This window comes from Homo sapiens, chromosome 19, assembly GCF_000001405.40.
Source record: "Homo sapiens chromosome 19, GRCh38.p14 Primary Assembly".
Lineage (NCBI taxonomy): Eukaryota > Metazoa > Chordata > Mammalia > Primates > Hominidae > Homo > Homo sapiens.
This window is the reverse complement of record NC_000019.10, coordinates 45,857,597-45,880,144: the sequence shown is the minus strand read 5'-3', so window position 1 is coordinate 45,880,144 and position 22,548 is coordinate 45,857,597. Positions and strand designations below refer to the sequence as shown.

The following is a 22,548-nucleotide window of genomic DNA, read 5'->3' as shown; positions in this document are numbered from 1 at the left end:
GAGCCTGCTTGGTTTGTCCCAGAAGCAACCAGGTGACCAGTGCTGGGGGACAGTAGTAGGAAATTGAATCAGAGGGATGGTGGGGGAGCAGTAAGAGGACCTGTACACTGTGATAAGGACTTTGAATTTTGTTTTTTATATTTTTTGAGACAGAGTCTTGCTCTCTGTCACCCAGGCTGGAGTGCAGTGGCACGACCTCAGCTCACTGCAACCTCCACCTCCAGGGTTCAAGCCATTCTCCTGATTCAGCCTTCTGAGTAGCTGGGATTACAGGCGCCCACCATCACACCCGGTTAATTTTTGTATTTTTAGTAGAGACGGGATTTCACCATGTTGGCCAGGCTGGTCTCGAACTCCTGACCTCAAGTGATCCGCCCGCCTTGGCCTCCCAAAGTGCTGGGATTGCAGGCGTGAGCCACTGCACCTGGCCTGAATTTTGTTTTAATAGGAAAAGGTGGGAGCTTTCAAGCAGAGGGTAAAGGGATGGAGCAAATGAGACAGAAACGGCATAGAACCCGCTGGGACCGACATTTATCTGTGTGTTCTCAACACGGAGCCCAACACAAATGCCCGATGACTGTGTGTGCATGTGTGAGTGAGACCCCAAACCAACAGAGAAAACGTCAGAATGGCAACTAGATGGACGAACAGGCTCAGAGACCCCCAGGGAGAGGCCAGCTCAGGGCCCGGGGACACTCAGGGACAGCAGATCCACACAGACCCACAGCAGCCCTGCTGAGAACTCCCATTCCTTCCAGAACCCTCCCCACCCGGAAAGCTTCCTGGGGCTGGAAAAATCCCCCAGGCCCTCCTGCCTGCCTCACCCGTGGCGTGCCCACTCACACCTCAGGCAGAGGAAGCTGGCAGGCCCCACAGGAACCTTTCTGTGCAGGGGGAGTGGAGGTGGGCGGGCGGCAGGGACGAAGGGAGAAGAGTGGCGGGCAGGAGGGCAGCGGCTACACAAAGGCCCCAGTGTCTTCCCCTCCTGCCTGGGTACAGATATAAATAATATGCACATATACATTTATATATATGTGTGTGTGTGTATACACACACACACACACACACCAGCACACTGGCTGGGGGAGACTGGGGGCTACACACTCCCCTAAGGGTCCAGGCATGGCAGTCTGCCCCTGTGGGGGCTGGGGACTCAGAGACCCACAGAGATAGTGCCCAAGACTAAGAGGCTCAGAGTAGACAGAGAGACGGTGGACAGAGAGAAGGTGGGGGAGAAACTTACAAAGTGGGACAGAAACAGACTTACGGAGACAGTGCCAGCATTAGATAGAAAGCAAGTGTCACGAAGCAGGCGGACTCAAATGGAGACACATCAGCTGAACATCCAGAGAAATGGAACCTATCTGCAGAGAGACAGAAAGAGCCACAGAAAGAGGGACAGTGACAGAATGAAGACAAGCGTCATTCCAGAGAGAGGCAGAGCCATAGAGAAGCCCAGGTGAGAGGAAGCAGGCACAAAAAGAAACAGAGAAATCGACATGCAGTGAGAGAGAGAGAGAAGCAGACAGACAGACAGAGAGTTGAGGCTGAAGGCTTGGGGAGGCTGGTGCCCAGGGTTAGGGGGAGGCTCAGGGCCCATTTCCAGTCTGGGGCACACTGTCTGCAGGGCTCTGGTCCAGCCCAGAACAGGCTGAGGGGCAGGAGCAGAGGTGAGGGAGGTGGCCCTTGGGTTCCGGATCTTGGTGTTTACCTGGGGCAGGATTGCAAATAGGCGCCCAGCCTGGCCCACGGTCAGCAAGGGTGGGAGGGGCTGGGCCACAGCCCTGGCACCAGTGGGCCCGACACACCCACCTGTGGCCTGGGCGATGAGTAACACATGCATGGTGACACCTGGGTAGATGGTGACACATAGAGGGACAGACACGGTGACACACAGTGACAGATATAGACAGAGCCACAGTGACAGGTCCAGAGTGACAGAGACGTAAACAGTCACAGAGACACACTGTCACAGACACGGTGACAGACACACTGATGCATGCTCACAGAAAACACAATGACAGGCAAATGTGTTGTCAGGCACAGAGGCATAGTGACAAAGCACACAGCGATGAACAGACATAGAGAACATGGTGACAGCCACAAAGAAGACAATGACAGAACAGTCACCTACACGTGTACACGGTGAGACAGTCAGTGACACCAACACAAACCCAGCAATGGACACCAACATAGAGGTGTCCAGGCACACACACTCATGCGCTCAACAGAGACACACCATGGAGTAACACACGAGCCCACAGACACAGTGACATTGAGACGCTGACAGCAAGACACGCGAATAAAGCCCAATGACAAACCGCTTAGACACACATGTCCTACCTAGCTGTGAACCGCCTGGTCACCAGTGAGTATGTGGCTTCTGGGAACCCACCTCCTGCCATATGGCAGGCTGTGGCAGAGAGGGGGGGTGCCTGCCAGGGAGGGCTTGGGACCCCAGGACTGTGCTGCACTGCCGCTATCCCTCCCATCCTGCAGAACAGCGGGGTGCTTAGAGGCACTGACTCTGGGCCCAGACTGCCTGGGTTCATGCCCTAGCACCCCACTCATTATCTGTGCAAGTTACTTCACCTCTCTGTGCCTCAGTTTCATTCAACAGTAAAGTTGGGGGGAGCGGGAGAGATGGAGCCCATCAGTTCTGTAAGGTGCTAACACAATCCCTGACTCATGGGAAGCCCTAGGATCTTTTAATTATCATCATCACCATCATCACCATCATCATCATCATCATCTGGTACCTCCTAATGCTGACAGCCCTCTGCCCACAGCTGCGACCCTGCCCCGGCCTCTGCTCCAACCCACAGGCCCCTCCCCTGGACCATGTCACCTTAGGCCCACAGCCCAGGGCCGCCTGTGTCCCCATGGCCACCCCACATCCCTGATTCGTGGCGTCCCGTGTCTGTCCATGCGTCCCATGTCTGACCGTGGTACTTTTCCACGCTGGACATCAGCCGGCTGTCCCTGGGGTGGGGGTCACACCTGCCCACGCCAGCAGAGCTGGTGGCCACCAGACACCCCGACGGATGGCCCCACCCTCCCCCGAGGACCCTACAACAACACCCCGCCCCTCCGGCCACCTGAGGTCCCCACTGGGGCGGCCTGAGGCCCGAGCCTGGGGACAGGAAGCCCCAGGCCTGGCCGCCCTGAAAGCCTCTTTCAGCCTGGGCCTCCTCCCGCCACCACCGACTCCTCCCGCGGAATAATATTTGGGCTGTTGGCCGGGGGGCGGGGGCCAGATCCGGAGGCCGCCTGGGAGAAGCCAGAAACCGCAGGGCTTCCTGCCTCGGGCTGGCCGACTCCGGGAGAGACCCCCAGGCCCGAGGGAGGGGGGCGGGTGCCTGGGGAGACTGAGGGCCTTTCTCTCGGCCCCAGTTGTTTTTTCCAGGAACCGGGAGGAATTCCCCGGCCTGCCCAGGACAGCAAGGCTGGTGGGACGGACGGGGAGCCAGCGCGGCAGGGGGCGGGGGTGACACGCAGCCGGCAAGGCGGGGCGCAGCGACAGGAATAGAGGGCCTGGCCTGCGAGGTGGCAGGTAGAGGCGGAAACCCAGAGAGCTGGGAGAGGGATGGAGGCCAGAGAAAGAGAGACCAGAGATCCAGGAAAGGAGTGGGGGGAGACGGACCCCAGGAAAGAGTCACTCTGAGAGAAGGAGGGAGAAACCCAGAGACCCAGGTGGAGGGAGGAGGGAAGTCAGAGCAGTAGAGAGAAAAGGCGGGGGCCGGGTGAGCGAGGGGGGAGAGAGAGAGAGAGCATGAGGTGAGCCATAGGAGAGACAGACACACACAGACAGCACCAGCAACTCAAACCAAGAAACACAGATAAAGGCACAGAAAGAGGGTGAGGGACAGATTGATACAGAAAGAAATGACACTGGTCAGGCGCAGTGGCTCATGTCTATAATCTCAGCACTTTGGGAGGCTGAGGCGGGAGGATTGCTTGAGGCCAGGAGTTCAAGAATAGCATGGGCAACACAGGGAGACCCCTTCTCTATAAAACATTAAAAAATTAGCCAGGCGTGGGGGTGCATACCTGTAGTCCTAGCTACTCGAGAGGCTGAGGAGGGAGGATAGCTTGAGCCCAGGAGGTCGACGCTGCAGTGAGCTGTGATTGCGCCACTGCACTCCAGCATGGGTGATAGAGCAAGACCCTGTCAAAAAAAAAAAAAAAAAGAAAAGAAAAGAAAAGAGGGAAGAAGGAAGGAAGGGAGGGAGGGAAAGAAAAAGAGGAAAAAAGGACACTAAGAGACAAGGAAAAAGATGGACCCACAGAAACTGAAAGACACGTCACACTGGTGTGCATGCATGCACGTGTGCGCTCATACACACACACACACACACACACACACACACACACACGTGGATTAGACAAAGTCTTTGGTCTTCAAATGACTGAATGGCTGGCTGGCTGACTGAATAAATGAATGAGCAACCAGAGAGCCAGCAACCAGGAAAGGCAGATGACAGGTAAGGAAAAGACAGAATCAGATCAACCTTGCCCACTCACTCCAGCCCCGCTGAATGACCTTAGCCCAGTCCCATCCCATCTGGGCCTCAGTTTCCATTCTGAAAGGAGAGGTGGGAGGTGCACAGTTGTGTTTCTGGGACAGCCAATCTGAGCAACAGACAGGCAGACTCAGAGTCACAGGAGAGACCTGGGGGACAGAAACACAGATCCCAAACCCAGAGGCTCACAGTGGCTGAAGGAGGACACGGTTCCTTCCCCGCACACTCTCCTGCAAAAGTGACAGACACCAGGCCAGCCTACTCTCCACACACGTTCAGATGCAAATGCAACAGTGACAAGTACACAGCAAAGGTAGCCACCAGACACACACAAACACACATGCTTTCTTCTTTTTTTTTTTTTCTTTGAGACAGTCTTGCTCTGTCGCCCAGGCTGGAGTGCAGCAGTGCAATCTCGGCTCACTGCAACCTTCGGCTCATTGCAACCTCTGCCTCCTGGGTTCAAGCAATTCTCCTGCCTCAGCCTCCTGAGTAGCTGGGACTACAGGTGTGAGCCACCATGCCCGGCTTAATTATTGTGTTTTAATAGAGTATTTTTAGGCCAACTTCGCCATGTTGGCCAGGCTGGTCTCGAACTCCTGACCTCAAGTGATCCGCCCACCTCGACCTCCCAAAGTGCTGGGGTTACAGGCATAAGCCGCCACACCCAGACTACATGTTTTCTTTTAAGCATGCAGACATACACGGACTCACAGAGACACACATAGAACACACAAGAACAGCCAGCCCTGCCATATGCATCTCGTTCCACACACGCACTCTCTGAGGCAGTGAGTTAGGTAGAGAATGGCATATAGACACACACGTAACACAGTGTGAGACCCAGAGAGACCCAGGGATAAGTGTACACAGAGAACCACACACACAACACAATAAAGACATACACAAAAGGCAGGGCACAGTGGCTCACGCCTGTAAACCCAGCACTTTGGGAGCCTGAGGTGGGCGGATCACTTGAGGTCAGGAATTTGAGACCAGCTTGGTCAACATGGTGAAACCCTGTCTCTACTAAAAATACAAAAATTAGCCAGGTGTCGTGGCGGGCACCTGTAATCCTAGCTACTCAGGAGGCTGAGGCAAGAGAATTACTTGAACCCAGGAGGTGGAGGTTGCCGTGAGCCAAGATTGTGCCACACACTCCAGCCTGGGCAACAGAGCGAGACCCTGTCTCAAAAAAACAAAAAAAAACATACACAAGAGTCTGATATTCCCAGCCACCCAGGGCAAGTAAGCATATACCCAGGGTATGAACAGACACAAAAACCTACACAATCAAGGGATACTGACAACAGACAACACCCTGCGGTAGACCATGAGGACCCCAATAGGCATAGTGCTATCCTATGACACACAGAGGACACACACACACACACACACACACACACACACACGCAGATAAACTCCAACATGTGCACGATCTCCAGTCATTGAATTGACACCTCATCTGTCCTTTTTCCTCCTCCCCAGCTTAGCCAAAGATTATTCGGCCATTAGGCTTGCAGAGCCTCAGAGGTAGAGGTCTGTGTGTATGTCTGAGAAGTGGGGGTGGGGAGATGGCCTTGGTCACTGCAGAGCCACCTCCCCCTGCTGCTCTGGCCCCACTGCTGCGGGGGCTGCTATCTGTGAGCAAACTGTCCTTGGGGTCAGGGACAGCAAAGAGCCAAAGGTCAGGTCGATGCCTCCCCCAACTCCTCCCCCAGAGGCAGCCAGCTCTTAGGGGCAGGAAGCAGAAGGGACAGAGGAGCAGAAATTCAGGTGTTCAAGCCCCACAGGGCCCACTGGCCAAGGAAAAGAGACATTCAGTAAGAGGCGGACACGGTACCTTTAATGATTAAACACAGCCAGTACCCCGCTTCCCGGGAAAGAATCAGACTTCAGTAGAAATTCCCCACACCCTAACCAGCCTTTTCTGGTTTCTCCTGGACCAGAGTTGGGGGAAAGGGTGGGCTTCAGAGAAAACCAAGGAGTATTCTCACCTCCATCCCCTACCCAACCCATGCCAGAGAGAATGGTGACGACATGGCCAACACGGGGCTGCAGCAGCCATCATGGCACATGGTGGCCCACTGACGTTGTCACCTACCCAGTATGATGTCCATCAAAGCACCCAATGGGCCAAAAAAGGTGTTACACAGAATGGTGGCCAACTTGGCACCTACTGTGCCAAGTACACCAAAAAAGAAGTGGGCACAGCACCTAATGGGGGGGGCCAAAGAAGATGTCACTGAAATGCTATCACCATCACACCCAAAGGGCCAACCGAGATGGTGGCCATCAAACCATGCAGTGGATTAGCCAATAACATCCATCAATGTAGCAGTCCTCACAGTACCCAGTGGGCCACCAAAATGTATCCATGGTGGTTATCACAGTACCCCGTGGATCAACACCATGCCCACTGAGACAGCAGTCATCACAGTAAGTAATAGACCCACCCAGATGTTAACCAATGGGACAAGTGAAGTGTCACCAGAAGGATCAGGCCCCAAGAGCTTCGTGGTGTGAGCTCCAGCCATACCCACCACCATGTTCCCAACCCCTGCTAGGATGCATTAAGCAAAGAGCGGGAATAGAGGCCCTGGTAGTAGACTCCAGGCTCCCCACCTTCAGCCCCGTAGCCCCCAAACCCCACGTCCAGTTTGGGAGGTGCTGGTGTCTGTTCTGACATTAGGTTGTTGATGGAGAAAGGGTGGTTGAAGTTGTAGGGCGCGTCCAGCTTCAGCTCCCCTGGGAGCTCCAGGCCAGTGAAATAGGGTGTGGAGGAAGCGGGTGAGCCACAGTCCAGAGCCCCCACATCTTCCCCGCCCTGGGCCTCAGGCTCAGGGGCTGGAGGCGGGGGCTGGGGCGGGGAGGTGACTGTGGCCGCGGGGGTGGTGGTCGAGGCAGCAGACCCTGTCCCGTTCCTGGTGGTGGTGGCAGCCCCGCTGCCCCCTTTTTTCACCTTCTCCTCCAGCTTGAAGCGTTTCTGGCGGCGCAGGTAGCAGCCATTCTCAAACATGTTCCCTGAGCTGGGGTGTAGGGCCCAGTAGGAGCCCTTGCCAGGCTTGTCTGGGGAACGCGCCACCTTGACGAAGCAGTCGTTGAAAGACAGCGAGTGGCGAATGGAGTTCTGCCAGCGCTGCTGATTCTCCCGGTAGTAAGGGAAGAGGTCCATGATCCACTGGTAGATTTCACTCAAGGTCAGCATCTTGCCCGGCGCCTGCTGGATGGCCATGGTGATGAGTGAGATATAGGAATACGGTGGCTTGGCGTGTGCCAGGGGCCGCCGATACCCCTTCGGCATCTCCTTCCCGTGCACCAGCCCAGGACCCGGGGCCCCGTACCCGGAGCTGCTGCTGCCACCGCTGACACCCAGGCCTGGGAAAGTGGGCCCCAGGGGGGCTGCAGGTGCTGGGGGTGCCAGGGGTCCTGAGGGCAGTGGGGAGGCAGGGAGCCCCCCAGGGGGATAGGGAGAGCTTAGAGGATTCAGGGTCATGTAGGAGTTGAGGGGGGCCATGGTGGGCACTGGGGTCACCGGCGAGTAGACCTAGGGGAAAGATGAAAGGAGGGGTCAGTGGGGCTCCACTCTGCTGGTCAGCAAAGGATCCCAGGACCCACTGAGTGTCCGTCTGTCTGTCCATCTTGCCTTCTCTACAAATCCCTTCCATCATTACCTCTATCTGTAGAAAGCAGTCTCTCAAGGTCTCTCCTCACTCCCTGGACACGCCCTTTCTGCCCCCTGCTTTCCCACCCACCATGCTCCCATACACTCAACATCATCCTTTAAGTGATTCTCCAGGGTTCGGGACTCCCAGGGCAGTCTCTGAAACCCTTTGAGGATGTCCACGAAGTCAAAACTATTTTCAAAATAATGCTATTTTTTTTTTCGAGGCAGAGTCTTGCTCTGTCGCCCAGGCTGGAGTGCAGTGGCGTGATCTCACCTCAATGCAACCTCCGCCTCCTGGGCTCAACCAATTCTCCTGCATCAGCCTCCAGAGCAGCTGGGATTACAGGTGTGTGCCACCACGCCAGCTTTTTTTTTTTTTTTTTTGTATTTTTAGTAGAGACAGGGTTTCTCCATGTTGGCCGGGCTGGTCTTGAACTCCTGACCTCGTGATCTGCCCGCCTCGGCCTCCCAAAGTGCTGAGATTACAGGCATGAGCCACCACACCCGCAATCCTAAGTTATTATTAGCCCTTTTCACTCTCTTTCTCATGAAGTGTACAGTGGAGTTTTCCAGGGGGTGTTGATATTCCAACAGAGAGAATGAAGAAGCAACCAGGAGAATCCAGCTGTCTTCCACTGGGCCAGACTTGATTTGCAAAAATGGAAAAAAACAGTGTCGCTCTTTTGACTAAATTTTTTGAAATTTGGTTTTTTTAATAAAAATCTTTTACACTAACAAATGATTGCTATTTTTAAATGAATACATGTTTGTAATATTTCTCAGTTTTAATTGTAAATACTGTAAACGTAGATAGACATAACCCACATCAACAGAAACTGTTTGGACTCCTAAATAATTTTTTTTTTCTACAGGGTCTCACTCTGTCACTCAGGCTGAAGTGCAGTGGTGCAATCGCAGCTCACTGTAGCCTCAAACTCTGGGGCTCAAGTGATCCTCCTGCCTCAGCCTCCCAAGTAGCTGGGATTATAGGCATGCACCGCACACCCAGCTAATTTTTTTGTATTTTTAGTAGAGACGGGGATTCACCATGTTGCCCAGGCTGTTTTCAAACTCCTGGCCTCGAGTAATCCTCCTGCCTCAGCCTCCCAAAGTAATCCCAGAACTTTGGGAGCCAAGGAGGGTGAATCACTTGAGGTCAGAAGTTCAAGACCAGCCTGGCAACGTGGCAAAACCCTGTTATCTACCAAAAATACAAAAATCAGCCGGCATCGTGGCACAGGACTGTAATCCCAGCTACTCGGGAGGTTGAGGCAGGAGGATCGCTTGAGCCCAGGAGTCTGAGGCTGCGGTGAGCTGAGATCATGCCACTGCACACTCCAGCCAGGACAACAGAGCAAGACTCCATCTCAAAAAAAAAAAAAAAAGAAGGGGGGTGGTCCTGAGACCAAAACATTTAATAACTGCTGGTTTATTAGGTAAATCAGCAGTTCTCAATTTTAGTAATCATAAAGAGTTATTATAGGCCGGGCACGGTGGCTCACACCTGTAATCCCAGCACTTTGGGAGGCCGAGGCAGGTGGATCACAAGGTCAGGAGATCGAGACCATCTTGGCTAACACGGTGAAACCCTGTCTCTACTAAAAATACAAAAACAAAATTAGCCGGGTGTGGTGGCGAACGCCTGTAGTCCCAGCTACTTGGGAGGCTGAGGCAGGAGAATGGCGTGAACCCGGAAGGTGGAGCTTGCAGTGAGCTGAGATCATGCCACTGCACTCCAGCCTGGGCGACAGTGAGATTCTGTCTCAAAAAAAAAAAAAAAAAGTTATTATAACTCTGTAATAATCTAACATATCTAACATATATGTGTAGCTCTCTTCAATCTTTTAGCTTATAAAATTACTGCATTTAGGCTGGGCACAGTGGCTCACACCTGTAATCCCAGCACTTTGGGAGGCCGAGGCAGGTGGATCACTTGAGGTCAGGAGTTCGAGACCAGCCTGGCCAACATGGCAAAACCCTGTCTCTACTAAAAACACAAAAAATAGCCAGGTATGGTGGCGGGCGCCTGTAGTCCCAGCTATTCAGGAGGCTGAGGCAGGAGAATTGCTTGCACCCAGAAGGTGGAGGTTGCAGTGAGCCGAGATTGCACCACTGCCCTCCAGCCTGGGCGACAGAGCAAGACTCTGTCTCAAAAAAAAAAAATAAATAAATAAAAATAAATTACTGTATTTATACATAAAAGTGTTTGAATATCAGAAATCACTTTTCAACCTAATAATATTATCCATTTACTATATATCTTCAAATCTAAGACTTCTCTGGAAGCTGCAGCATTACTTTATATATTAATACAAATGGGAAAAACACTCAGTTAAAATCATAGGACACTGTTGACTGTAAAATGCATCCCATTTTTGGAAATGTTCAAATGGGGGGAAAAGGTGCATCCTAGGTCAATGGAACACGGTAGATCTTGCAGTGCCTCCTAAGTAACCCTCTGTATATTCTTTCATTCATTCAACCAATATTTATCAGTTAGCTGCTCCAAGCACTTCACAAGAATGGTCTCCTTTAATCTTGACAACCATACTATGGGAGGAGGTGTTATGATGATGCCCATTTTACAGCTGAGCTAGCTGAGGCCCAGAGAGGTTGCTGGGGTCACACAGCAAGAATGGGGGCAGAACTGGGATTCTGCAACCAGGCAGTCTGGCTCCAGACCTGTTCCGGGTCACGCTATAAACGCAGTGACTAGGCCAGTTGCGGTGGCTCACGCCTGTAATCCCAGCACTTTGGGAGGCTGAGGTGGGGGGGGTGGGGGTGCGGATCGCTTGAGGTCGGGAGTTCGAGACCAGCCTGACCAACAGGGAGAAACCCCGTCTCCACTAAAAATACAAAATTAGCCGGGCATGGTGGCACATGCCTGCAATCCCAGCTACTAGGGAGGCTGAGGCAGGAGAATTGCTTGAACCCAGGAGGCAGAGGTTGTGGTGAGCCAAGATCGTGCCACTGCCTCCAGCCTGGGCAACAGAGCAAGACTCCATCTCAAAAAATAATAATCATAAAATAAAATAAAAGCAGTGACTAAGACAGACAGAAATGCCTGCCCTCGTGGTGCCAACAGTCTAGCAGGAACACAACAGTGAACAGAACACGCCAGGAAAACATAGGCATGCTGGAAGGTTGTTTCTTTCTTTGTATCTACTTATCCCTTCTCAACCACTGTCTCCCATCCTCTCTGCCCCATTCTCCACCTGGACCTTTCCCCACTGCCTCCTCCGAGGCCTGGGGTCTCATGGCACTGCGTGGGTGGGGGAATGCTGCTATATACAGCACTGGCTAGAGCCACCAAATGTGAGTTAACTGGATACCGCCTAGTCTCCTGCCACTGTAAGCTTTTTTTTTTTTTTTTTTTTAAGAGAGTCTCACTGTATCGCCCAGGCTGGAGTGCAGTGGTGCAATCTCAGCTCACTGCAACTTCTGCCTCCCAGGTTCAAGCGATTCTCCTGCCTCAGCCTCCCGAGCAGCTGGGATTACGGGCACGCACCACAACACTCAGCTAGTTTTTGTATTTTTAGTAAAGACAGGGTTTCACCATGTTGGTCAGGCTAGTCTCGAACTCCTGACCTCAGGTGATCCTCCTGCCTCGGCCTCCCAAAGTGTTGGGATTATAGCCATGAGCCACCATGTCTGGCCCTACCACTGTAAGCTTCTGCAGGTCACAAGGTCCGGAGAAACGAGTCTGGCCAGGGTGGCTTAGGGAATCAGAGAGTGGAGGCAACCAACTCAACCCTAAGTCTGAGTTCCAGTCGAGAAATCCTCTGCTCTTTCCTTTTCATGTCTCTCCAAGGAACTCTTTCATCATGTCTCTTTGAATCTCTGTTGGCTATTTTTGCCGTTGTGTTACCCGTCTCAGTACTAGTACCCATATTCCCCTCTCCCATCTCCCTCCCCACCCCCGCATTGTTTTCCCTTCTGTCTCCACCCTAACCTCTTTTGCTCTTCCTGCCCACCCTCGACCCCTCCCGAGTCCTCTCCCATCTTTCTTTCCCCTCCATCTCGGCCCCTGTCTCTCTCTCCATCCTTCCATCTCTTTCTCCCTTCCTGGGCACTCTCTCTCACTATCCGACTCTACCCCACTCCCCTCCCAACCCCAACTCCCACCTTTCTTCCTCCTTCAGCCCATCTTCTTGTCTTTTTTTTTTTTTTTTTTTGAGATAGAGTCTCACTCTGTCACCCAGGCTGGAGTGCAGTGGCTCCATCTCGGCTCACTGCAACCTCCGCCTCCTGGGTTCAAGCAATTCTCCTGTCTCAGCCTCCCAAGTAACTGGGATTATAGGCATGCACCACCATGCCCAGCTAAGTTTTGTATTTTTAGTAGAGATGGGGTTTCACCATGTTGGCCAGCCTGGTCTTGAACTCCTGACCTCAAGTGATCCACCCTCTTCGGCCTCCCAAAGTGCTGGGATTACAGTCATGAGCTACCATGACGAGCCACCATCTTCCTATCAATCTATCTATCCATCCATCCATGCATCTATCTATCTATCTATCTATCTATCTATCTATCTATCTATCTCCCTCCCTTCAACAAATCCATTCCCCCTCACCCCAAGTCTTACAGTGAAATTGCAGCCACAGTTACTCCCTTCCCCCATGCAGGCTCTCCCGCTGGTTGGTGGCTTCGGGTCCCCTCCCCAGAAAAAGAAAAGGGATGAGGTGAGAAGGTGATGGATTAGAGGGGTCCACAGAGTTTCCAAATCCCCCTATACCTCCACCCCCCATTTCTGCAACCCAGTCAGGCTCTCTGGTATTGCAGAGTAAGACAGACAGGGACCCCAGGGCCCTCCTTTCTGGCTCCCCACCCACCCGGAAGTCCTCCTTGAGGTCCGACCTCAAGCACTCCAGCTGCCCTAATCCACCCTAGGCTTTCCCACGCCCCGGGGCTGGGATGAACCCCTGGTGTCCGGGTCTGAGCCGGATCTCCCCTGACAGGGTGGGGCTGAGATTGGGGGGAAGCCCTTGGGGGACCCGCACCCCCACACCAGGAGACTGGAATTTCTCCTCTTTCATTTCCTTATTGTCTCTGGAGAAGGGTGTGACAGGGAGCAGAGGAAGGCAGTGTGAAGCCAGAAGCCAAGTTTCTAGTCCCAGACCCAACCCAGGACCCCAGTGTTCTGCGTGCGGGGCTTCAGAGTTAACCACCTCTAAAACAGGGGAGCAGCTGGACCAGCTGATCTGCAAGAACCTGAGGCCAACAGGGATATCCCAGGATGGTAACTTTCCAAGTTCTTTCCAGACAGCAAGCTGCCCTGAGTGTTAACGTCACCCCAAGCGGGAGGGTGCTATGGGCAAGAAGTGGTTTGGGGACCCTCTCAGCTCTCAGTTGCTGGCTGAGTGTAGGTATTTCTCTCCCCATTGTTCTGACCCAAGGGGAAGAGGTGGGCTTATCTGATGGGAAGGCTGGGGAGAGCCTCAGACAGTATCACCCAACCATTTCCATTCCTCCAAATACTGACTCTCCCAAAATATGCCCTGAAATGCTGATTACCTCCAGACTGTCCCTCTACTATTATTATTTTTTGAGATAGGGTCTCATTCTGTCACCCAGGCTGGAGTGCCGTGATACGATCACAGCTCCCGGCAGCTCGAACTCCCAGCCTCAAGTGATCCTCCCACCTCAGCCTCCCAACCAAGTAGCTTAGACTACAGGCATGCCTGACTAATTAAAAAAAAATTTTTTTTTTAAAGACAAGGTCTCCCTATGTTGCCCAGGCTGGCCTCAAACTCCTGGGCTCAAGAGATCCTCCCACTTCGACCTCCCAAAGTGCTGGGATTACAAGTGTGAGCCACTGTGCCGGCTTTCCTTCAATTTCTGACACAATTTCCATACAAATTGTCCCCTAAACTTGGATCTATTCAGACTGTGCCCCAAATATCAACTCCTCCTGCCTAGACCCCCATCATTTACTTAAGATGTGCCCCCAAAACAACTGTAGTTGGTTTGTACAATTGGTCTGTAGGTGGTTCCCTTAAATCAGGTCCCCAGACTGAGTTCTGCAGAGGTCCAGCTGGGATCACCCCCACTACCTGGAACCCTCCATTTCCCACCTGGGTCTCTGCCTTCCGCATCTCACAACTGATACCTCCAGCCACCCTGCCTCCACCTCTCAACACTCCCAGTCCCTTTCCCTGTTGGCCCTGCCCCACCCCACGTGCACCTCACACCTCCCCAAACCCAGGACTGGCCCTTCCCAGGCACCTTGCCCAGCCCTGAAGGCCTGGGGATCCAGGAGTCCCACCCTACAGTTTCGAGCCCCAGACCCAAGACTCAGGCACACTGGGGCCCCCGCAGTCACCAGATCTTGACTCCTTGGAGAACCTAGCCATTCCTGCCCCACACCCCACCTCAAGCCCACAGTCCCCTTCCAGGTTAGAAGTCCAAGTGTCCAGACCCCCATAATTCTCAGACCAAGAACCCAACCCCCAGCCCCAACAACCTCACAACGTTGATTACAGAGTGAGGTAGCTAAGGTGTAGGGGTCGTTGCAGCAAGACGAATGGGGGTCAGACTTGAGGAAGGACTTTCTGTCTGTCCAGGTGAGGGGATTAGAATATGCCGCCACCCCCCACTCCAGGGAAGCCTTGTCTGAGGTGAGACTGGATGGGAATTTTAGCAATAGCTGGAGGTTGCTGGACTGGCGGGGAGCAGGGGAAGGTGCACAATCTAAAACTCTCCATCTTCCGACTTGGGGAGTCCCTGCGGAGGGTCATGGGTAGGGATGGGGGGGTGGAGATCGGCCCCTCTCCTGCCAATGCTGATGGCTACATCTTCTGCTCCCAGATGCCCAACTCTAAGCCACCTGTTATTTCAGACTCCAAAAACGAAGCTTCATCTCTGAGCACCCCCATCTCTGACCCCTGAGCACCAATCCCTATGTCTGACCCTACCTTAGATTACCAGCTGATCCTTAGCCCCGAACCCCGGTTCTTTAACACTGTGTGCTGGCCCTGAGCTCCCACCTCAGTCTTCCCCTTAATGGTGACTCCTCCTCCATCTTTTAGTCTTTCTTTCCCTCCAACTTTGAACCTCACATCCTGAAACCCCCTAGTCTGTCCCCTACCCTGGAACTCTGATTCCTATCTTTGGTTTGTACATATAAATCCCTTGCTTTTTGGGGCTCCAACACCCGGCTCCCAAGTTTAAGGTGTGACCCGACCCTTGGCTAAATTTTCCTGACTTCCATTTTTAAGCCCTGGCCGCGGCGAGGCTGCCCAAACAGCGCTCCCATCCATGCCTCGTCCCCGGTCCCCGACTTCCACACCTGGTCTCCGTGTTCCCAGTTCCTCAGCTGCCCAAGTAGACGCCTTTGCCTCCATTTGAACCCACAACCAGTCCCTGCTCCATGTGAGCCCACACCCCGATACCTGCCCCCAACTTCCCGCTCCGCCATCCCCGAGGACACACCTCGCCCGCCTCCGGGTAGTAGCTCCACTCGGCCAGGTCATGGGCCTCCATCTTCACTGAGCCCAGCATCCCCCGGGCTTACGCCCCCACCCGCCCCCGCTCCGGCCCCGGGGGAACGGAGCGCTCTGGATCTCTCAGCGGGCACGGCCCGAGCTCCCACCGGCGCCCGCCCGTCCGACCGCCCGGGGTACGGCTGTCCCGAGCGCCGCGGGAGGCGGCCACGCTTTATAGCCGGGACACCCCCGCCCTCGCCCGCCCCGGGCTCCCCTCCCGCCTCCCCGAGGGCGGCGCGCTCGGACTGGGGCGCCCCCTGCGGGATCGCCAGGAGACAGACCTCAGGCGCCGGGGGCCGCAGCCCCAGGACGCGACAGCTGGGGGTGATTCAGGAGTGAGGGAGCTGCCCGCAGCGACGCTGCAGATACCAAGGGCCCCGAGGTCAGAACTCTGGAGCCTTTCTACCTCAGGGGGCTTCATCATCTCGGCAGGAGAGGACGAAGAGCCAGAGCCCTGCATGACCGTGGCGGAAGAAAGGGGAATCAGAACGCTAGGGCCACTATGCGACTACAAGGACCCGTAAAAGGTCCCCGAAATCACATCCCCATTGGACAGACAGGAAGACTGAGGCTTCCGACGGCTAGAAATGCTTAACTTGGCCGGGCGCGGTGGCTCACGCCTGTAATTCCAGCACTGCAGGAGGCCGAGGCGGGCGGACGAATCACTTGAGGTCAGGAGTTTGAGACCAGCCTGGCCAACAGGGTGAAACCCCATCTCTATTAAAAATACAACAACTAGCTAGGCGTGATGGTGCGTGCCTGTTATCCCAGCTATTCGGGAGGCTGAGGCAGGAGAATCGTTTGAACCTAGGAAGCGGAGGTTGCAGTGAGCCGAGATCGCGCCACTGCAGTCCAGCCTGGGAGAGAGAGCGGGACTCCGTTTCCAAAAAAAAAGAAAGAAAGAAAAGAAAAGAAAAAGAAATGCTTCAGACTGTTGAAAGGGTCAAGAACAAAGATGGAGGGGATCGGGGCCTCTCCGCAGACCCCACTAGGGCAACAGACCACCTCCCCTCCAAGACCCAGGAGCTTCGCTGCCCGAACTCCGCACTCTCCAAGACCAGCCAGCCGTCCAGGGACTCAGCACCACTGAGAACTCCATTTCCCAGAATGCTCTAGCTCCCTTTCCGCCCGGTGCCTCCGAAGGGACTACATTTCCCAGAAGGCCTAGCCGGACCCAGAGCCGGAAATGAAGGGTCTGCTCGCCGTAGTATGGAGGCGGGCAGAATGCCGCTCGCACGGGACGAGGCATGGGCGGGGTCGGGCTGTGCTCTGGACTCCATTTCCCGGCGGCCCTGGGTGTGTGGCGCGTGCGCACCGTTCCCGGCGACGAACGGAAGATGGCGGCGGCGGCGGCGGCGGAGTGTAGGAAGAGGCACTGCTGAGGGGGCGCGAGGGGAACGGAGGCCAGAGCTGCGGTGAGCGGGAGGCGGCGTTTGGGCCCGGAGACGAAAGGAGGAGGCTCCTAAAGAAGCAGGGGCTCGGGCGGGGAGGGCATCGCCGTGGGGAGAGGGGAACAGTGGCTTTCGCGACCCATGTTTCTTCCCTTGCTCAGGACCCTTCCTTGGCTCCCTAGTGCCCTCGAGGCAAAGTTCCAACGTGGCCCCCCGGGCGCCACCGCCCCGCAGACCTCGCTTGCTTCGACTCGGCCTCTTTGCTTTTTCCCCCACCTCTAACAGCCGCCCTGGCCTTTCGGTTCCTTAAACTTGCCATGCGCTTTCCCGCTTCGGGGATTTTGCACAGGCTGTCCCTTCTGCCTGCAACATCCTTTTACCCATTCGGCTTGGCTAACTCCCATTTCATCCTTCGGGTCTCGGCACCAACGTCACTTCCTCTGCGAAGCCCTCCTTCCCTGCCCTCCATCCAGAAATCCGCCTGTTAAATGCTTTTGTCGGTCCGTGTTCCTTCATGTCACGTGTGGTCTAATTTGTTATCCGACTCTTATCTGTGTGCTGTTTTATGATGTCTATGACCGTGTGTTCCATGAAGGTAGGGACTAGGTTTGTCTCTGTCGCCACTGTGTTCTCAGCACAGCGCCAATCACGCCGGAGACGCCCAGCTAATGTTCGTTGAAGGAATAAAAGATACTCCTAGAGCCAGTTTGGGGAAACAGGGTAGTCATCAGATTCCTAGGTAGCAGTGGGGCAGGGTACCACTTCTTAACGAGTACATCGAGAGGGAAGGGGAAACAGTGATACTGTTCATCATAGCAAAAGGCTACACGCATCCCAAATGTTCTTAAATAAGAAGATTGGCTGAAAGAAACTATAATACATCCACATAAAAAATACTATGCAACTCTAAAAAGGAATGAGGTAGATAAAAGGAAATGATGAAAATCTCTATACACTGATATAGTGGCCTCCAACATATATTAAGGGAAAACAAGTGAAGTGGAGGTTGGTGTTTATTGTATATGCTTTTTCTTTTTTTTTTTTTTTGAGACAGGGTCTCACTCTGTCGCCCAGGCTGGCACGATCCCAGTTCACTGCAACCTCCACCTCCCTGGTTCAAGTGATTCTCCCACCCCAGCCTCTCGAGTAGCTGGGATTACAAACGTGCCCCACCACACCCAGGTAATTTTTATATTTTTAGTAGAGACGGGGTTTCTCTGTGTTGGCCAGGCTGGTCTTGAACTCCTGACCTCAAGTGATCTGCCCACCTCAGCCTTCCAAAGTGCAGGGATTACAGGCCTGAGCCACCAAACTCGGCCTGTGTAGGCTCCTTTTTTTTTTTTTTGAGACAGAGTCTCACTCTGTCACCCAGGCTGGAGTGCAGTGGCGTGATCTCGGCTCACTGCAACCTCTGCCTTCCAGGTTCAAGCAATTCGCCTGCCTCAGCCTCCCAGGTAGCTGGGATTACAGGCACACCACCACGCCTGGCTAATTTTTGTATTTTTAGTAGAGATGGGGTTTCACCATGTTGGTCAGGCTGGTCTTGAACTCCTGACCTCGTGATCCACCTGCCTCCGCCTCCCGAAGTGCTGGGATTACAGGCGTGAGTCACCGCTCCCGGCCCTGTGTATGCTCTTTTTGTAAATGAAAGGGAAATATGTATATATGGGTTTTTTTATTTTCATTTTTTTTCCTTTTTTTGCATAAAATCTAGCTCCTGCAGGAGAATTTTGTGTATGTGTGTTTAAAAAAGAACAAAACAAAACTGAAAGCATAAACCAAAAAGCAGAAGAAGAATGAAACAGGGTAAAATATTTTGGTTGATCTGAATGTATTATCATGAAAAAAGTGGAAATGTTTATTATGGGGTTTTATTTTATTTTATTTTATTTTTTGAGGCAGAGTCTCATTCTGTCGCCCAGGCTGGAGTGCAGTGGTGTTGGGATTACAGGTGTGAGCCACCATGCCCGGCCTGTTTTTTTTATGTTTTGACTGGGGACGGCATGCCATGCCGGTTGTCTGGTGGCCAGGATCCTTGGCTTACGTAAACAGACCTGGGGGTAAAAAACAATTCCTTTCAGATAAACAGTACTGTAGCATAGTGGTAAGGAAGATATGCAGCCATGCTGCTGACTCTGCCTCTTACAAGCTATATGCCTTTGGTCAGGTCACTTTACCTCCCTGGTCTTCAGTTTCCTCATCTGTAAAATGAAAATTAAAAATACTAACTCCCAGCCTGGGCAACATGGCGAAACCCTTCTCTACAGAAAGTACAAAAATTAAATGGGGATTCGCCTGTAGTCTCAGCTACTTGGGAAAATGAGGTAGGAGGATCGCCTGAGCCCGGGAGGCAGAGATTGCGGTGAGCTGAGATTGCGGCACTGCACTCCAGCTTGGGCAACAGAGTGACACCCTGTCTCAAAAAAACAAAAAATGTAAACCTAACTCATGTATATTAATTCTAATATATACATATTAATTCATTTAAACCTTGGTGTCTGAGGTTTAAATGAGTTAATATGTATATCTTAGAATTGTGCTTAGCACATATTAAGTGTTCTCTCTCTCTCTTTCTCTTTCTCTCTCTGTGTGTGTGGGTTTTTTTTCTTTTTTTTTTTAATTTGAAACGCAGTTTCACTCTTGTTGCCCACGCTGGAGTGCAATGATGTGACCTCGGCTCACTGCAACCTCCTCCTCCCAAATTCAAGCGATTCTCCTGCCTCAGCCTCCCGAGTAGCTAGGATTACATGTGCCTGCCACCATGCCTGGCTAATTTTTTTGTATTTTTAGTAGAGATGAGGTTTCACCATGTTGGCCAGACTGGTCTCAAACTGCTAACCTCGGGTGATCCACCCGCCTTGGCCTCCCAAAGTGCTGGCATTATAGGCTTGAGCCACCGTGCCCGGCCGTGTTCAATATATATTAACTGATTATTTTTTCTTTTTTTTTTTTGGAAACAGGTTCATCAGGTTCATGCTCTGTTGCCCAGGTTGGACTACGGTGGCCCAATCATACTTCACTACAACCAGGCTCAAACAATCCTCCCACCTTAGCCTCCAGAGTAGCTGGGACTAAAGGTTCATGGCACCATGCCTGGCTAATTTTTTTTTTTTTTTTTTTTTTTTTTTAGATGGAGTCTTACCGTGTCTCCCAGGCTGGAGAGCAGTGGCATGATATCGATGCCCAGCTAATTGTGCATATGTCTAGAGATGGTGTGTCGCTGTGTTGCCCAGGCTGGTTTCAAACTCCTGGCCTCAAGTACTCTTCCTGCTTCAGCCTCCCAAAATGTTGGGATTATAGGCATGAACCCCTGCACCTGGCCTTCTTTTTTAGTTTTTAGGCCTAGGCTAGTCCTGAACTCCTGGCCTCAAGCCATCCTCCCACCTAGACCTACCAAAATGCTGGGTTTACAATTGTGAGCCACTATACCCGTCCTATTTTTGTTTTCTTTCCTTTCTTTGTTTTTGTTTTGTTTTATTTTTGAGACAGAGTCTTGCTCTGTCATCCAGGCTGGAGTGCAGTGGCGCAATCTCGGCTCGCTGCAACGTCTGCCTCCCAGGCTCAGGTAATTCTCATGCCTCAGCCTCCCAAGTAGCTGGGATTACAGGCATCCATCTCCATGCCCAAGTAATTTTTTTGTATTTTTAGCAGAGACTGGGTTTTGCCATGTTGGCCAGGCTGGTCTTGAACTCCTGGCCTCAAGTGATCTGTCCACTTTGGCCTCCCAAAGTGCTGGGATTACAGGAGTGAGCCACCACACCATGCCCTTTTTTTTTTTTTTTTTTAAAGACTTGTCAAGTGCAGTAGTGAGAAAGGGGGAAAAAGTAGAACAAGTATAGCTATTAGGATTCAAGAGTGAAAGGGCAGGAATACTGAACCCAGTGATTGGGGAGGCCGTTTGGCAGTAGTGTTCACTCATTCAGCAGATGTTTATTGAGCTCCTGCTAGGTGCCAAGCACTCTTCCGTGCTGGGAATATAAAAAGTGAAGGAACAAAATCCCTGTTCTAGGCCGGGGGCGATGGCTGAGACTTGTGATCCCAAGCACTTTGGGAGGCCAAGGAGGGTGGATTGCTTGAGTGCAGGAGTTCAAGACCAGCCTGGGCAACATGGCGAAACTCTGCTTCTACCAAAAAATGATTTCAAATAAATAAATCACTGTCCTCGTGGAACTTATAAATATGTAGTGTGTGATGATGATAAATGCTATGGAGAAAAAGCAACACAGATGGGGATCGAGAGGAAGTTAAAATTTGAAATATGGTCGTCGGCCGGGCGCGGTGGCTCATGCCTGTAATCCCAGCACTTTGGGAGGCCAAGGCGGGCGAATCACCTGAGGTCGGGAGTTCGAGATCAGCCTGACCAACATGGAGAAACCCCGTCTCTACTAAAAATACAAAATTAGCCAGGCGTGGTGGCACATGCCTGTAATCCCAGCTACTAGGGAGGCTGAGGCAGGAGAATCGCTTGAACTTGGGAGGCAGAGGTTGCTGTGAGCTGAGATCACGCCATTGCACTCCAGCCTGGGCAATAAGAGGGAAACTCCGTCTCAAAAAAAAAAGAAACATAGTCGTCAGGGAAGACCTTACTGCAGAGACATGTGAGTGGAGACCTGAAGGAAATGAAGAGGGAAGGAGTTGTGCTGATATCTAGGAGGAGGAATATTCCAGGCAGACGGAAGAGAGGCACAAAGTCTTTGAGGAAGGGGCATGTTGGGCATGTTCACAGGACAGCGAGGAGGCCAGAGTGGGTGGAGCAAAGAGCCCAGGGGGAGAGGCAGTCAGAGGAAGAACAGGCCAGATGCCATAAAATCTTGTAGGCCTTGATGGGGACATTGGCCCTGACCCTGAGCAAGATAGGGGGTGACAGGCAGCAGGGAAACTAGGGAGGAGGCTGTGGCTCGTCATTCATTGAGGAGACCCCTATCATGTGATACTACTGTGAATAGCTATTGGGTAGTTCCTTTTAAAAAACGTGTCATTTTCGGCTGGGCGCTGTGGCTCACACCTGTAATCCCAGCAATTTGGGAGGCCAAGGTGGGCAGATCACCTGAGGTCAGGAGTTCGAGACCAGCCTGACCAACATGGTAAAACTTCGTCTCTACTAAAAATACAAAAATTAGCTGGATGTGGTGGCACATACCTGTAATCCCAGCTACTTGGGAGATGAGGCAGGAGAATTGCTTGAACCTGGGAGGGTGGAGGTTGCGGTGAGCTGAGATTGTGCCATTACACTCCAGCCTGGGAAACAAGAGTGAAATTCCATCTAAAAAAAAAAAAAAAAAAGTATTTTCGGCTGGTTGCGGTGGCTCACGCCTGTAATCCCAGCACTTTGGGAGGCCAAGGCGGGCGGATCACGAGGTCAGGAGATCGAGACCATCCTGGCTAACATGGTGAAACCCCGTCTCTACTAAAAATACAAAAAATTAGCCGGGCGTGGTGGCAGGCGCCTGTAGTCCCAGCTACTGGGGAGGCTGAGGCAGGAGAA

The 22,548-nt window shown here is 52.7% G+C and overlaps 2 protein-coding genes across 4 annotated transcripts in view, besides 5 other annotated features; one reads left to right on the top strand and one right to left on the bottom strand.

Annotated features, from left to right (window-relative positions):
• Positions 6,135-6,279: an enhancer, noted in NCBI's record as "145 bp enhancer 173 fragment used in the MPRA reporter construct; PK_construct_1765". NCBI's record gives its function as "activates an SV40 promoter by MPRA in HepG2 cells {active_cell/tissue: HepG2}" and the evidence as "EXISTENCE:reporter gene assay evidence [ECO:0000049][PMID:23512712]".
• Positions 6,201-6,214: a transcriptional cis regulatory region, noted in NCBI's record as "HNF4 motif; enhancer activity is reduced when this motif is scrambled". NCBI's record gives its function as "necessary for full MPRA enhancer 173 activity {active_cell/tissue: HepG2}" and the evidence as "EXISTENCE:site-directed mutagenesis evidence [ECO:0005528][PMID:23512712]".
• FOXA3 (forkhead box A3) lies at positions 6,348-15,819 on the bottom strand. Its single transcript, NM_004497.3, has 2 exons — positions 15,620-15,819; positions 6,348-8,070 (listed from the first exon to the last, which is right to left on the bottom strand). The coding sequence occupies exons 1-2, from the start codon at positions 15,686-15,688 to the stop codon at positions 7,087-7,089; spliced, it is 1,053 nt and encodes a 350-aa protein (NP_004488.2). The 5' UTR covers positions 15,689-15,819; the 3' UTR covers positions 6,348-7,086.
• Positions 15,624-16,033: a silencer, noted in NCBI's record as "silent region_10801". NCBI's record gives its function as "represses an Ori minimal core promoter by ATAC-STARR-seq in GM12878 lymphoblastoid cells {active_cell/tissue: GM12878}" and the evidence as "EXISTENCE:reporter gene assay evidence [ECO:0000049][PMID:35858748]".
• Positions 16,674-17,083: an enhancer, noted in NCBI's record as "active region_14824". NCBI's record gives its function as "activates an Ori minimal core promoter by ATAC-STARR-seq in GM12878 lymphoblastoid cells {active_cell/tissue: GM12878}" and the evidence as "EXISTENCE:reporter gene assay evidence [ECO:0000049][PMID:35858748]".
• The window catches only part of SYMPK (symplekin scaffold protein), a 47,738-nt gene continuing 42,187 nt past the window's right edge, over positions 16,998-22,548 (top strand). For 2 of the 3 annotated variants that reach the window (NM_004819.3, XM_047439485.1), the window contains exon 1: positions 16,998-17,087. The gene's annotated coding sequence lies outside the window, so the exon portion shown is untranslated. Of the gene's footprint in view, positions 17,088-18,117; positions 18,246-22,548 lie in introns of all 3 variants that reach the window. The other variant, XM_011527354.2, reaches the window with a different exon arrangement.
• Positions 17,335-17,973: an enhancer, noted in NCBI's record as "NANOG-H3K27ac-H3K4me1 hESC enhancer chr19:46365430-46366068 (GRCh37/hg19 assembly coordinates)". NCBI's record gives its function as "activates a minimal SCP1, AML or CMV promoter by ChIP-STARR-seq in primed H9 embryonic stem cells {active_cell/tissue: H9 hESC(primed)}" and the evidence as "EXISTENCE:reporter gene assay evidence [ECO:0000049][PMID:30033119]".

Coding starts and splice junctions, on each gene's coding strand:
- FOXA3 (NM_004497.3), bottom strand. CDS start 15,688: ATGCTGGGCTCAGTGAAGATGGAGGCCCATGACCTGGCCGAGTGGAGC. Junction 8,071..15,619: donor ACTACCCGGAGGCGGGCGAG/GTGTGTCCTCGG, acceptor TCTTTCCCCTAG/GTCTACTCGCCGGTGACCCC.